Raw genomic sequence first — 15949 nt, 5'->3', positions numbered from 1 at the left:
TCATGATCCACCCGCCTTGGCCTCCCAAAATGTTGGGATTACAGGCTTGAGCCACTGCGCCCAGCCAGTAGTCTTTCTTACATTCACACAGGACCTTGCTCCCCATCCTCACTGGAAATGAATTGTCATCCAATTGAAGTAGATGCTCTTAGTGCCCTACCCAAATGGCCTTTACTGGCCAGTGCACCCCCAAGCTTGCTGTCCTCCAGTGGCCCCTCCAAGAAATTACCTTTGATCAAATAGGAGTCCTTCACACACAAAGTTCCCACCCACCATGGGGCAGACCTTGGTCAGAAACCAATTAGCATGGATGTAAAAATGGTCAGCCCCATTGCCTCAAACTGGCCCTCATTCAAGTGCAATTCATGCTCTGGAGCTTCCTGTGTGATAAAGCTGAAGCTAGTCTCCAGCTGAGACCTCATCCTCGCCTAGCTTTTTCCCCTGCATGTCCTCCTTCCCTCACTCCATTACAGGAGTCTTCTGGGCACTTTCTCCCACTGAGTAACTTACACAAGAATTTCTTATCAGGCTCTGCTTTCAGGGAACCTACCCTAAAAGATCAGTTATTCCTAAGAGTATAGGTGCCCCCCTAAACAGTTAGTTGCAGTCATCACCTACTGCTGGTGAGGTTGCTTCCATAATGAGAATAGCAAGGATGTTCGCCACACCAAGAATGAGATCATCAGCTGTCCTCGGGGTTTGCAGTCCTCGGGGAGCTGGGCTCTGTACAGGAAACTGAGGTGTAGGCCACAGTGTATGGCATCCTGGAAGGCAAAACAAGCCTGATTCTGTGCAAAGTGCTTCCATCCTTGGTGGCCCGGGAATTGATACCAACTGAACCCACCTTGCCAAATCACACTGGTCACGTCCTTGTGTCAAAGCCAGAAATATAATGTCGAGGATACTCAGCCAATGTCTGCCCTTACTCCAAGTTCAGTTTTGGTTTTTCTTCTTGATGATTCTGAGTTGTGTAACATTCTGTAGGGGGAAAAACATGGATTTTGGAGCTGATTCTGATACTCACAAGTGGCAGCTTACAAATCACTTAACTTCTCTACACCTCCATGTGCTCATCTGCAAAATAGGGCAATGATACCTAAGTTGCATGGCCCTTATGAAAATTACAGTTACTTAATCTTTGTGAAACAACCTACATGGGGCCCAGTTCTTTTTAAATGGCAGCAACTACTTCTATTGCAAGCATTGTCTTCACTCCATTGTGTCTCCACCTATTTGCATTATCTTGTGAATAAGCACAAATGTAGACAATGCCATTGACCTCCAGTACAAAGACACTTTGCTATCAGCCTGGCCAACTTAGTGAAACCCCATCTCTACTAAAACTGCAAAAAAAAAATTAGCCAGCATGGTGGTAGGCGCCAGCTATTCTGGAGGCTGAGGCGGGAGAATCGCTTGAAGCCGGTAGGCGGAAGTCGCTGTGAGCCAAGCCAACATCACACCACTGCACTCCACCCCTCCAGCCTGGGTGACAGAGTAAGACTGTCTCAAAAAAACAAAAAACCCAGACACTTTGCTGATACGGTCTGCCACTTGCAGCTTTCTCTACCTTATGCTGTCTCTTTTTCCTTCTCCCACATTTCTTTACCCCTTTTCTATCTCTCTTTTGCCTCCTGTTTTTAACCCCCTTATTTTTAACCCCCTTTCTCCAAGCTCTATTCCAATATTAACAGGAAGACAGGCTAGTCCAACTTTTGCGCCCAGGTGAAAGCATCACATCTTTATGTATTTGACCTAGGAAAGATGCTGCCCACGCCCTGTCCAGACCTCCTTAACACTCCCCTTTTCTAGGCACGCATTACAAGCACCTAGGGGCCTCTAAGGGCTTTCTCTGGAGTGCTCAGCCAACCCACAGGACTGTCAGTCAGTGCTAGGGATGCTCCAGGAGCAGCCTTAAGCCAAAGAGAAATGAGAGTTGGAGGATAAATGCCTCAGTTTCCCCTCTTGGACATATCAACTCTGAGGACACAGTCTCCCAGATGACCCCAGCAGGACTGAGTGCCAGTTGCCTCTGGGGAAGCAACATTAACACACCTTGGATTGATTTTCTTCCTTCTTATCTTACTTGCCCACTCCCCTGATGGTACTTTCAAATCCTTGTCTCAGGTTTTGTTTCCTTGGGGTCCAATTCAACATAAGACACCACCCCAACCCACCTAAACCTTCAGCCTCACTGTCATGACGGGAGACAGGAACCAGACACCTCATAGCAGAAAGACAAGTAAGCGAGTAAAAGTCTGTGACAGAACCTGCCACCAGTTTTCTTTGTTTCAAATAGAAAACATTATTATAGTCATAACTCACTGGATAGCATGAAATCTTTCTAGCTCTTTGTTCCACATACATCTGTTACCCAGCATTATCTCTTTATTACTTAACTGTAACAGTTTTCCCATTTCTTGAAAGACAGCAACAATTCTATGAACAATGGACACAAAATTGGCTGATAGGGGAAAGATATTGGAGGTACCAGGAGCTTGCCAACAAAGAATTATTAAAATATCTCCCTGGTACAGTTAAGAGAGAAAACCAACAACTTGTCCCATTTCGGCTGATGTGAGGTAGGAAGGTGGAGGAAGAAGAAAGCAATTCCTCATAGACATTCTCATTTTTCTACTCCCCAACTCTGTAGCAATTAGATGTCAACCATGAGCACCTATTCTTCATTTATTCCCTTACGTATTTATCTCCAGCGAACATTCTTGCCCAAAATTGGAAAGCTGAGAGAGGTAGATATTTTTTCTCTCAGGAAACTAACGCTAATGGTCAAATTTAAGTGACAGACAAACATTCCTCATGATAAAAATAAGGCCCAAAGCTCCAACACTGGGTTCATATATTTTTTTCAATTCGCCTAAATCCTTTATATTAGCAGAAGCTTAAAGGTACAGTGAGCAAGGACTTCTACTAGACATGTTCCTTGAGATTTGTAAGATTTCTACTTTTAAAAAATACAGGAAGCCCTCAAAAAGTTAAGTAAAATCATAATTCCGCTAGTTTAAAATTTCTATAAAATAAATTATCTCCTTTCTCCCACCACTCAATTCACCCCTTCGATATGGTTTGGATCTGTGTCCCTGCCCAAATCTCATGTCCAGGTTTAATCCCCAGTGTTGGAGGTGGGGCCTGGTGGGAGGTGATTGGATCACGGGGATGGAGTTCTCATGAATGATGTAGCACCATCCCTCCTTGGTCCTGTATAGTGAGGTGAGTGAGTTCTCATGAGATCTGGTTGTTTAAAAGTGTGTGGCAGCCAGGCGCGGTGGCTCACACCTGTAATCCCAGGATTTGGGGAGGCCGAGGCGGGCAGATCATGAGGTCAGGAGTTTGAGACCACCCTGGCTAACACGGTAAAACCCTGTCTCTACTAAAAATACAAAAAATTAGCCTGGCATGGTGGCACGTGTCTGTAGTCCCAGCTACTTGGGAGGCTAAGGCAGGAGACTCGCTTGAACTCAGGCGGCGGAGGCTTCAGTGAGCCAAGATCGTGCCACTGCACTCCAGCATGGGCAACAGAGCGAGACTCTGTCTCAAAAAAATAAAAAAAAAGAAAAGTGTGTGGCTCCTCCCCCTCTCTCTTGCTCCTTCTCCAGCCATGTGAAGTGTTCGCCTCCCCTTTGCCTTCCATCACGTTTGTAAGCTTCCTGAGGTCTCCCCAGAAGACGAGCAGATGCCAGCATCATGCTTCCTGTACAGCCTGAGGAACATTGAGCCAATTAAACCTCTTTTCTTTATAAATTACCTAGTCTCAGGTTTTTTTTAATAGCAAAGTGAGAATAAACTAATACACCCTCCCACTGCAAGGGGAGTCATAATTCCACTGTAATACTGTAATAGACAGAACTCCAGCTTCTTTCTATGCCTATGAGGCATAATTACATTCATGTATTTACATTTGCCCACCTGCTATTTTTCTAATGAAAATAACATACATATTTTTTAGCAATTTGTATTTCTACCTAATATAGCATAAACAGTCTTCTAAGAAATCAGGTATAAGCCCATTGCATATTTTTTAACAGTTTTGGCGTATTCCATTGTTTAGAACTTCATCTCCCAAGTAGTGTTCAATGAAAACTGTCCTCTGATGTGTGCTATCTCTCATTTTACATGTGTGTGTATGAATTATTATAAATTATAGTTTAATCTTTGGCAGATTTACAGTGCATATTGTCAACTGAAGAATGATGAGGTTCATAAATTTGGAAAGGTGAGATTTATCTCTCATAAAGGGTTGCAGCCTGCAGGGTGGCCATTCTGATAGGCCGGGAAGTGTGGTCTCCACCCAGAAGCCAGAAACAGACACTTCCATGGTGGGAAAAATGAGATAGTGATTTATGCTCAGCAGGGTGGCCAACACACTGAAATTCAATAAGCTGGAGGAGGAGTCATTAATATTTATGAAGGGAGAAATATGCATATGTGCAATTGAGCTTCATGCCTCTCAGTGGATCCCATGCCCAGGCTGAGCATGGTGGCTCACACCTGTAATCCTAGCACTTTGGGAGGCCAAGGTGGGCAGATCATTTGAGCCCACAAGTTCAAGACCAGTCTGGGCCTACAAAAAATACAAAAAGTAGCCAGATGTGGTGACCTGCGCCTGTAGTCCCAGCTACTCAAGAGGCTGATGTGGTAGGATGGCTTGAACCTGAAAGGTGGAGGCTACAGTAAGCTGAGATTGCACCACTGTACTCGATCCTGGGCAATAGAGTGAGACCCCCATCTCAAAAAAAGGGGGGAGGGGCAGGCAGCATTAGCACAATCTGAAACATGAAGTTTTTGATACTCTCACCACAAAAGGTGAAGTAGAGGACATGAAAATCCTCCCTGCACATACTCAGCAGAATGGCCAAAACCACTCCATGATTGGTGGTCTCTTTTCTGGAAGGAATGCAGGTCAGTCCCTACATGGAAACCACAAAAGGAAAAGGCAGCAGTCAGGCAGTTGGTTGAAATCAGCAATGGAGTCTTTTGGAAGGGCTGGTTTCTGGTTAGCCCTTAGGAAGAATGCCTAATGACAGGGAGCGGAGGGGTATAATGAGTCGTCGCCTGACCTTCCATCCCATCAGGGCTGGGAATTCAACTTCCAAGGTTTCTCCGGAGTCTTCTTGGCCAAGATGGCATTCATTCAGTCAGTTGGGGGCCTTTAGAATTTTATTTCTCAATATTAATTTATTAAAGATTTTGCATGTTTTACAATCCAAAAAAAAAGTTTATTCTAAACAGCAATTCCAAATATCTTTGACTGCAGAATACTATGTTAAGGGAAAGTCCACTACTGTATTAGAAAACACTCCCTTGAAATCGCCTAGATTTTTCTTTTTTTCTTTTTTTCTTTTTCTTTTTTTTTTTTTTTTTTTGAGATGGAATCTCATTCTGTCGCCCAGGCTGGAATGCAGTGGTGCAATCTCGGCTCACTGCAACCTCCGCCTCCCGGGTTCAAGTGATTCTCCTGCCTCAGTCTCCTGAGGAGCTGGGATTACAGGTGCGCACCACCATGCCCGGCTAATTTTTGTATTTTTAGTAGAGACAGAGTTTCACTATGTTGGTCAGGTCGAACTCCTGACCTCATGTTCTGCCCACCTCGGCCTCTGAAAGTGCTGGGATTACAGATGTGAGCCATTTTATATAAAATGACTGAGAAGTCTCCTTCAAGCCATCTAGAGTCGGGGAAAGAAGACAGTGACAAAAGCTGAAGGCTGAACCATCCCAGGGCTGAATACAAAAGATTAAAATATGGCTAAGTATCCAGAAAGAGCAACTCACAAACAAGGAGCTATTTGTGGCCTAAGGGATGTTGTGAGGAGTCTTAACAAGCATGCTGGTGTGCCCTTAGAGTCAGGGCAGAGCAGTGGGCATGAAAATGGGCTATTGGCCCTTTCTGTTAGGGCTTCCTCTTTCAAAGACGGGAATAATCATCAGAAGCCAAAATACAACAAACAGAAAAAAGAAAGACAGGGAGGGAGGGAAGGAAGAAAAGAAGGGAGGAGCAAGGAAGGAGATAGCTGCCAAAGCCAGCATATCCCTCAGATCATGCTGCATGGAAGAGAGACTGAGAATGCACACCAGTTGATATCCTAGTTCCTTCTGGCACTAAGTCCAGCCCTGAGCATCAGAGCTTGAAGTAGGGGCCTCACACTCTGATGAGGTTCAAAAATCACTGACATGAGCATAATTCATAGGGAATTAATTCCCTATTAAGAGAATTATTAATTGTATTAAGGGAACACAAATGTATTTAACATGTATACAGGTGAGCCTTTTTTATTTAACATGTATACAGGGGACCCAATCATCCAGTGAGATTCGGAGGCATATATATCATCTTGGAAAAACAGATTATGGAAGGGAGGAGAAGAGGAACTCTGTTGAAGATTTACTAGTGAGAAGGCATGGACCCCAAGGAAGATTTGTAAATAGTTTTCTTTGACAGAGAATGGGTCTGCTCAGGTGTGGTTACATTCTTGGTCTTGCAGGGAGGGTGAGAAAAAGCAATTGTTCTTCCTGGTGGGTCTGGATCTTAGGTAGGGGAGGACCTTGAGGCTTCTTCTGCTTTTTCTTCAGCTCAGCATGTCCATGCATTTTATTTTGGGGTATCAGTTTCTGAGCCCCAACAGTGACTTTAAAATCCTTTATAAGAAAGAGGGCATGTTCCCTCTAATAGGACTCTGGAAAGGAAGATTTGATTACCCTAAAAGTCCACACAAAGATGATTATTTGTTCATGTTTTTAGAAGACTGACACTGCTTCAGGGCATAGCCTAACAATGATGCTTTAGGTATATATATAAAAAATAAAATAAAATAAAATAAAATAAAAAACTTTGGGGATTTATGGCCACTAGAGAAAGGCTTAATAGCACGAGTTAATAAGGGCCTGTAACTATGTTTCTGCCTGATTTTTTGTAATTAATAATAGCTAATTTCATTTATGATGATATCATAATACTACTACTTGTACTACCACTAATAATAGACATGTATTTAGCACTTGTTGTGACTAAGCTCTGAGGAAAGAATTCTCCAACAAATCTAATCCCTAAAATAGGTGTGTCCTGAGATTAACAGATAAGAAAACAGACAAAGGATGTTTACTGACTTGCCTGAGGTCACACAAATGAGATAGCCAGGCCTTGAACTCAGGCATTCAGATTCTGGGCTCTTGACAACTCTCATCCCTCCCACTTCCAGCCCCACCTCATCTACACTGCCTGCAAGAATGTTCGTCCCTAGCAGCTGAGGGTGACACTGAGTGGGTTTTCCTTGGCCCAGAACTGCTTTCTCTACCTTTGTTCCTGTCTAGATTTTCTTGTTTTCCTATTGGTCATTGTTGCTTCACTCGTGTTCCTATACATGTGACATTTGAAAAATTCTAATGAAACCACCATTGCAGGATTATAACTGAGACAGTGAAAGAGACTTGACCTAACCTACACCATCTTGCTTCTAACCTCCAAGCTGTCCTTGTTAATTCCTGGGTGTAGGCCAAACTAACTTTGGACAGAACTTAGTTTATAGTCTTTAGTTTGAAACAAGGATGATAACAGCCCTTTCCCAAAACAAACCCCCTTCTTGCCTTGGGACTAGACTGCCTTTATAGGACTAACAATTAGCCAAAAGTTAAGAAATTATGATTTAGGAGTCATGCAGCTAGCGGCTAAAAGATTCTGACCCTCCCCAAATTGCTCCTAGGGATAAAATCACTATTATAGGCCCGGCACGGTCCTGTAATCCCAGCACTTTGGGAGGCCGAGGCGGGCGGATCACGAGGTCAGGAGATCGAGACCATCCTGGCTAACACGGTGAAACCCCGTCTCTACTAAAAAAAAGTACAAAAACTTAGCCGGGCGTGGTGGCAGGCGCCTGTAGTCCCAGCTACGCAGGAGGCCGAGGCAGGAGAATGGGTGAACTCGGGAGGCGGAGCTTGCAGTCAGCCGAGATCGTGCCACTGCACTCCAGCCTGGGAGACAGAGCAAGACTCCATCTCAAAAAAAAAAAAAAAAAAACACTGTTATAAAACCTAAGATCAGTGCTTGAGATATTTTGCATACCCTGCACTTGATGGCACCACTCAGATGGATAAAGTGGCTCATCCGATCTTGTGGCCCCCACCCAGGAACTGACTCAGCGCGAGAAGACAACTTCTACTCCCTGTGATTTCATCTCTGACCCAACCAATCATCACTCCTCACTCACTGCCCCTCCCCCAGCACCCGCCAAATTATTCTTAAAAACTCTGATCCCTGAATGCTTAGGGAGACCGATTTGAGTAATGACAAAATTCTGGTCTTCCGCACAGCCGGCTGTGCAGGAATTACTCTTTCTCTATTGCAATTCCCTTTTCTTGATAAGTCAGCTCTTCCTACGCAGGAAGCAAAGTGAACTCACTGGGCAGTTATAAGGATGCTTTGGGAAAGTGGAAGTGTGTGTGGTCACCAAAAGGTTGTGTGGAATAAAGGTTTCTCTCACCTCTTAGGCTGGTCTTTCTGAGTCTATGAGAAGATGACAAAGAGCCTGTTCTATGTATTAGTTATGTTTTCCTCCTAGCCTGATTCTGCCCCTAATTTTTGTAGTTGATAGGGTGGAAGGGGGAGGATGGGAGGAGGGGAGAATGAGAAAGGCATACTTCCATGCTAGCAGTAGGAATCTTCTAGGGGCTGGACAGAATGGAGCAACATGCTCCAGCCTGCCTTAAGTCTCTTTAGGCTGCCCACACATGTGTTCACCTAGGTTCTCTTTAACATCAGGCACTCACAGAAAAAAAAAGTCCCCCATTTGTGAATCATGTGGACAAAGAGAACAAAATGGCACCATCTTGTTCTCCTGAGGCCCCTGCAGGAAGTGGCTCAGCTGTGTCCATCTCAGGATGGAGGAGGAAATCCCAGACTTCTTCTGTTCAAGGCTGGGCCCACAGGCCTCCACCCTCCCTAGACCAGGGAGAGCTGTAATTTCAGCTCAGTGATCCCAGGACACAGCCAACTTTCCATCCCTGCCCTTGCTTTCAGACCTAGCCTCTTCCAGCGTTGAGTAAATAAAGGGGGGCTTCTTTCTCACTGGTGTGTCTCCCTTTCAGACCCAGAGAGAAGGACTTGGACTATGATTACTCAGCTCCTTCATCTTCCTCAGGGAACAAGGTTGATAAGACAGAAATTTATTTTGGTTGGATCATAATGACCAATAAAAGATACCTTTTCATTCATGTTGCATTTTGAGTCAATATATACTCAAGATCAGAAAACTGACCATCAGTCAGTGCAGCCTTTAATTTTTTGTTGGTTTGTTTCTAAAATGTGTAATCACCTGATGAGTTCTTCCTGCCCAGTGCACAGACAAAACTGATTCACTGAGACCGTGGCATTGCACTCACATCAAGATCCCTGAGGGCTCAGACGTTAGGGGTTTTATGGACAAGCTGGTGAGCAGGGGTCTAGAGATTGGTTGGGGATGAAATCACAGGAGTGTGAAAAACAGTCCTCATGCACTAAGTCCACCTCTGGGTGGGGCCACAGGACCAGTTGAGTCATGAGTCACGAGTCTTGGTGTGGGGGGTCAGTCTGAAAACCATCTCAAAAAGAAAACAATCTTAGATTTTACATTAGTGATTTTTATTTGTTTGTTTTTTATAGAGACAGGGTCTCACTCTGTCACCCAGGCTGGAGTGCAGTGGCTCACTGTAGCCTCGAGCTCCTGGGCTCCAGCAGTCCTCCCGCCTCAGCCTCTTGAGTAGCTGGGACCGCAGGTACACACCACTGTGCCCAGGTTTCAAAAAACGTTTTGGAGAGATGGGTTTCTACTATGTTGCCCAGTCTGGTCTCAAACCCCTGGGCTCAAGCCATCCTCCCACCTCACCCTCCCAATGTGTTGGTATGATAGGTGTTAGCCACTGTTCCTAGCCAAATAGTGATGTTATCTAAGGAAGAAATTGGGAAAGTCACAAATCTTGAGACCTTTGGCCACATGACTCTCTAGTAGCAAGGGATTATAGAAACAACACCCAGGCCAAAACCTGCTAAACCTTTCTTCATCTGCTTTGCCTAACTCACCACAAGATTAGGGAATAACATACTCAATTTTAAGAAATAACCTCTGGGAGAGGCAGTTTTTGTTTGGAAAAAATACCTTGAGGCTTCTGAGAATGAGAGGCCTCATGATAGAATTGGTTAACGTAGATAAACAGAGAGCTGGATAATAGTTCTGAACATAAAGGGAGAGGAATTTGGAGAATCTTAATAGCCTGAGGAGGCGAAAGATAAGTAGGGTCTTCAAGATGGAACAGGTAGCCTGAGGGAGGATGGCAGAGGAGTTTACAAAGAAAGTCAGCTGGTGAGAAAGTCCCTGTCCAGCGTCATTTCTGAACTGGGGTTGTCTAACGTTTACCTTAAAGTTATCCGACAAGTTTGATTCATTTATGTAACAAATGTGTGTTGTGTGCCTTTTATGGGCCAAGGAGTTCAAGGATAAATGAGACCAAGTCCTCACTTCAATAAGCTTACTTTGCTAAGGCTGTTAGTAAATAGTCATCCCATGGTGCCAATCTACCTTTAGTAAAAGTCACACAATTGTTTTGTGTAGTTCCCCTAGAAGTCAACCCAGAGGCAGAATTCTAGTGCAAGAAATATATTTAGAAGTTGATTCCAAAAAATACCCTTAAAGAGAAAAGAGAATAAGAGAAGGGATGGAGACCAATAAAAGGTAAGTTGCCAACCAAGTTACTATTTGAGTTACTATTTGGGCAACTGGGGCTCAGGGCCAAGGAGCCACCAACTCTTTTTAATCATTGGTTCAAGGCTATTCCTGGGGGAAGAGGGAAGTGATAATTTTTCAGTTATTTCTAGCCTGTCAAGCATATGGACAGAGCAAGCTCCCAAACGTACAGAAGCCCTCAAAAAATAGATGCTTTAACTCGGTGTGGAAATGCATGCTTGTAGTCTTAGATGCTTGGGAGGCTGAGGTGGGAGGATCACTCAAGCCCAGGAGGTTAAGGCTGTAGTGAGCTATGATTGCACCACACTCCTGGCTGGGTTTCAGAACAAAACCCTATCTGTAAATAAATAAATAAATATAAGGTGCTTGTGCTGGAAGTTGGCAACTCACAGCCTTATGATAATTTTAAGATCTTCCAGAATCCGCCCCTGCCTGTATCCTCAACTTCAGCTGCCCCCAGTCTCCTTCCTCTACCTCCCAGCCCCTGTTGCACCATAGATTCTCACTTGCCAGAGTCTTGCCATTTCTGAAATGGGTCATGCTGTGTACAACCCCAAGCCATTGTTCCTGCTATGCTCTCTGCCTGAAATGCCCTTCCCACATATCTAATTTAGCCTTTGTCAATATGCAGTTCAAAAGTCACTTCCTTGATGAATATTTTCTAGTTCCCCCAAGTAAAATCCACCATTCCAGCCTTTGTCCCTTCTGCAGAAATATTTCTTAGCACCTATAAGAATGTATTGTTCTCACTCATTTCATAGTATTGTTCACCCCTATCAAATAGAAACTCTTTGAGTACAATGGCCCTGATCTACCCCTGACTATCTAATGGATAGTATAAGGTATAGCACAAAATAGATACTAGTAAATATTTAATGAGCAAGTGAAGGTGAATGTGTGAGAAAGTTAATGAATGAGCAATTTATGAAGATGAGTAAAAGGGAATAAATAAGAAAAGTAGGTTGGGCCGAAAGTGTAAAGCATTTCTCAGCCTTCCTTCCACTTGGATGTGGCTATGTAGTTACCTCCTAACCAACAGGATGTAAGTGAAAATGCTTATATTTTCACTTATATATTCTGCAACTTCCAGGAAACATCCTTCAAAGGCCGGTGCTTGCCCTTCTTTGCCCTTTCTCCTTCCTGCTGGCTGGAGTGTGAATGGATGTGATTGTAGCAGTAATAGGTCCATTGCTTGATGTGCACAGCCAGGTCAATATGCTGAGACACCGGGTTGCAGCAGAGAAAGAGGTATAATCACAAAACTGCTGAACGAGGAGACAAGAGGAAGCCTCACATCTGTCTCCCCAAGATGTATGGGGACAGAGGTTTTCAGGGGTTTGGAGTGGGCTGAAATGTGGAGATCATTGATTGGTCAAAGAGTGCAGGGTGAAGTCATAGGACAGGGAGATGAAGAAACTGTATTCTCATACTGATTTCTTTCTTTTTTTTTTTTTTTGAGACGGAGTCGCGCTCTGTCGCCCAGGCTGGAGGGCAGTGGCGCCATCTCGGCGTTCATTGCAAGCTCCGCCTCCAGGGTTCACGCCATTCTCCTGCCTCAGCCTCCCGAGTAGCTGGGACTACAGGCGCCCACCACCACGCCCGGCGAATTTTTTGTATTTTTAGTATGGACAGGGTTTCACCGTGTTAGCCAGGATGGTCTCGATCTCCTGACCTCGTGATCCGCCCGCCTCGGCCTCCCCAAGTGCTGGGATTACAGGCGTGAGCCACTACGCCCGGCCTCTCATGCTGATTTCTTTCCTCTGTGTGAGTTTTCAGACTAGTTGGTGTCAGCCGTTTCACTGGAATTCTGGATCTCAAAAACACCTTAAGCAATTCTTAAACAAAAGACTTATGATTCTAACATCAAAAATCCTATCTATGGGAACAATGGAGATGCAAATGGCCAGTATCTAGTGCTGTGAGACTGTCAGTTACAATGAAGTGGGTTAAAGTCCAGCCTGATTAATGCTTAATTATAACTATTTTATTAATATATATACTGACGATTTGCACCCCTCCCCCCCAGTTTTTTTTTTGAGACGGAGTTTTACTCTGTCTCCTAGGCTGCAGTGCAATGGTGTGATCTTGGCTGACTGCAACCTTCACCTCCTGCAACTGTTCAAGCAATTCTCCCGTCTCAGCCTCCCAAGTAGCTGGGATTACAGGCACCCACCATGACACCCAGCTAATTTTTGTATTTTTAGTAGAGATGGGGTTTCACCATGTTGGTCAGGCTGGTCTCGAACTCCTGACCTCAGGTGATCCACCCACCTCGGCCTCCCAAAGTGCTGGGATTACAGGCGTGAGCCACCGCACCCAGCTGCATCCCCATTTTTCCTATAGGTAGGACTTCTGATGTTGGAATCATAAGACTTTCTTTTGTTTTGCTTTTTTTTTTTTTTTTTTTTTGAGATGGAGTCGCAGTCTGTTGCCCAAGCTGGAGTGCAGCGGTACAATCTCGGCTCAATGCAACCTCTACCTCCCAGGTTCAAGTAATTCTTCTGTCTCAGCCTCCTGAGTAGCTGGAACTACAGGTGCCCACCACCATGCCTGGCTAACTTTTGTATTTTTTTGGTAGAGATGGGGTTTCACCATGTTGGCCAGGCTGGTCTTGAACTCCTGACCTCAAGTGATCCATGCACCTTGGCCTCCCAAAGTGTTGGGATTACAGGCATGAGCCAACACACCTGGCCTAAGGCTTTTGTTTAAGATACACAGTTCCCAGCTGCCCCCTTTTCAGTCAAATAGGAGCTGCCTCCCCAGAAGATTTTGTGCTCTTTCCCATAAGGAGCAGCCTTGCCAATGACTGACCAATATAGATGTACAAAAAACAGGTCTCCTTGTCTCCAGGTGGGACTAACTTTGTGGTACAACTCAGGCACCAGAGCTCCCTGTGGAATCAGTCTGAAGCAGGACTACAGCTGAGGCTATATCCTAGCTCAGCTTCTTCCCCAACTCCACCCTGCTTCCCTCACACCCTATTCAGAGAGTACATCTGCAGCAAGTCAAATGCACCAAAATTCCTGTACCAGGCTCAGCTTCTAGGGGGCAGCCTCTCATATAAATTTGAGTTTTCATTCCCTGGATTAGAGGGAGAAACAAAGTGTGCTGAAACAGTTAAAAAGGGCCACCAGTCAGTGCTAGCCAAAAGAGGCATGCTTCAAAAGTAGTCACAGTCAATCTTTAGAGATCAATACAGACTGTCAGATTGATGCATATTATGAGGGACACAGAATGCATTCCTGCCTTGGCCTGAGAGAGTTATTGTTCTTAGCAAGCACATGAGTCTTTGTACCATGCACCATGGACTTACTTCTCTCCTAATTATTGCTTATACTGACTTGGTTGTCCTTCTTTTGTTGTCAGCTAAGCGAACAGCTCATCCGCAGTCAATACTGTGAAAGCATTAAGTCCCCTGACTACTGCCAGAAAGGGCCAGTGTATGGGAGTGGCTTCCTAAACATTTTCCCTAATAAAAGAGCTTAGTCTCTGGGCACAGGATAGTTGGCCCATTATTCTAGACTAATTAGGTTCTGCTCCATTTACATACTCTGCTGGAAATTACAGAATCTCTGTGAGAATTCACATGACATCCATGAACTTCTAAGAGGACCTACTGAGAGGAATGTCCTTGGCTAAGAGCCTCCAGCTGCTGCAACTTCAGATCCACTGTAATGTTCACACTCAGGTGGCTGCCAGCAAATGATTAAACTCCATGAGGGTCCAAGAACCAGGCCATTTCTATCAGGACTTTCCTAATGGACAATTCTTGCTGTGAGGCTCCTCACTGTCCTGGCTGTGACTTTCTCAGAGCTGTACTGCAGTCTATAGACTCATCCTACCCAAACCTCTTTCCTTCTCTTTTTCCTTTCACAGGAGTCAGGCCTGCATCTACTCTGAAGCGTCTCCCTGCCTACTCACATTTCCTTCCCCTTTACCCTGTACAGAATTTCCTCCATTAAATCTTTTGCATTTCTCCTTCTATCTTGGCATTTGCTTCTCATAGGACCCTAGCTGACATAGTGGATCTGAATCCTGAGGTCTGATTTGTGGAGCTGTGGGAACTTGTGAGATCAATTGCAAATGAAACATTACAATGGAATCCAAGGTAGCAACACTTAGAATTATAGCACACATTTGTTACTTGGCATGGAAAAATGTTTATGATAGAGTAAATTGAGGAATTACAAAACAGTATAGTATGTATTCCAAACTTGTAAACAAGAAAGTATATATAGAAAGAGAAAAATTTTAGAAGGCTATGCATCAAAATATTGAGATTGGTTTGCTCTAGATTATAGCAGTCTTGCTTATCTTTTTTGCATGTTTACATTTTCAAAATTTTTCGTAATAAAAAATTGTTTCACTTTAAACACAGCTGAAAAGAGAATCTTTTGGCGTAAAGGAGGAGTATTTTAGGGGCTAGAGCACTTTGGGAAGATAAGGCTGCTGTAAGTTTTTCTAGAGCCTCAGGACTGCTCCATTAAGGGTCACCATATAGGTACCAGGGGCCAACGGAGGAAAAGAACTTGCAGAGGTAAGAACATAAAGACCTCAGGGAAGGCCTAAGAGAAAGTGAGTGATGAGGGGGTAGAAGGGTCCCCTCCTTTTTCAGTGCATGGATCAGTTCAATTACTATCCCCACTACCATTCTCTATCTGACTCTGATGTCATTTTGTGACCCCTTAGACCTGATTGTGTGCATGTAATATAGCTCACTCATTCATCCAACCAACATTTATTGAGCCTTACTCTTGGCTAGGCATTCTGCTAAGTTCTAAGGATTCTGGCATGTGGCAGATACTGACAGTTGCCTCCCAATACCCATTCTCCCCTTTTTCTTGTTAAAAAAAATCCTGATTTTATTTAGGCAAGCAGCACGTCTGGTTAGAAATCATGTCTTAGCGCTCACTGCAGATAGAAGAGGCCATGTGTTGCAAGCAGGAAACACTGAAGGGGGTTGGCTCAATCAGCAGACACCTTTGCCTTTCACCCTTCCCCATCTTTGGAAAGTAGATGGAACCATGAAATGAACATAAGAAACGAAGACCATACACTAAATATATGGGAGCAAAAATCAAGAAAGAATCAGTCACTAGTGGCATTATTAAACCACTAAAATGGACCTCCATATTTCTTGTTATGTGAGAAAAACAAATCTAATTTGCCGAAGCCACGGTTTTGGTGATATCTGTAACTTGAAGCTCAACAGAGTCCTAAATGGAACA

At 44.2% G+C, this 15949-nt stretch overlaps 1 long non-coding RNA gene across 1 annotated transcript in view, besides 1 other annotated feature; it reads right to left on the bottom strand.

The window, feature by feature from the left end:
- LOC105372542 (uncharacterized) overlaps positions 1–15949 on the bottom strand; it is a 29065-nt gene that overhangs the window by 8138 nt on the left and 4978 nt on the right. The window contains exons 2-3 of the long non-coding RNA XR_937286.3: positions 845–978; positions 615–764 (exon numbers count right to left, since the gene is read on the bottom strand). This is a non-coding gene — a long non-coding RNA (uncharacterized LOC105372542). The remainder of the gene's footprint in view (positions 1–614; positions 765–844; positions 979–15949) is intronic.
- Positions 6108–6680: an enhancer, noted in NCBI's record as "H3K27ac hESC enhancer chr20:16605418-16605990 (GRCh37/hg19 assembly coordinates)". NCBI's record gives its function as "activates a minimal SCP1, AML or CMV promoter by ChIP-STARR-seq in naive H9 embryonic stem cells {active_cell/tissue: H9 hESC(naive)}" and the evidence as "EXISTENCE:reporter gene assay evidence [ECO:0000049][PMID:30033119]".

The sequence above is a fragment of the Homo sapiens genome, chromosome 20 (genome assembly GCF_000001405.40).
Source record: "Homo sapiens chromosome 20, GRCh38.p14 Primary Assembly".
Taxonomy (NCBI): domain Eukaryota; kingdom Metazoa; phylum Chordata; class Mammalia; order Primates; family Hominidae; genus Homo; species Homo sapiens.
This window is presented reverse-complemented; position numbering and strand designations above follow the sequence as displayed.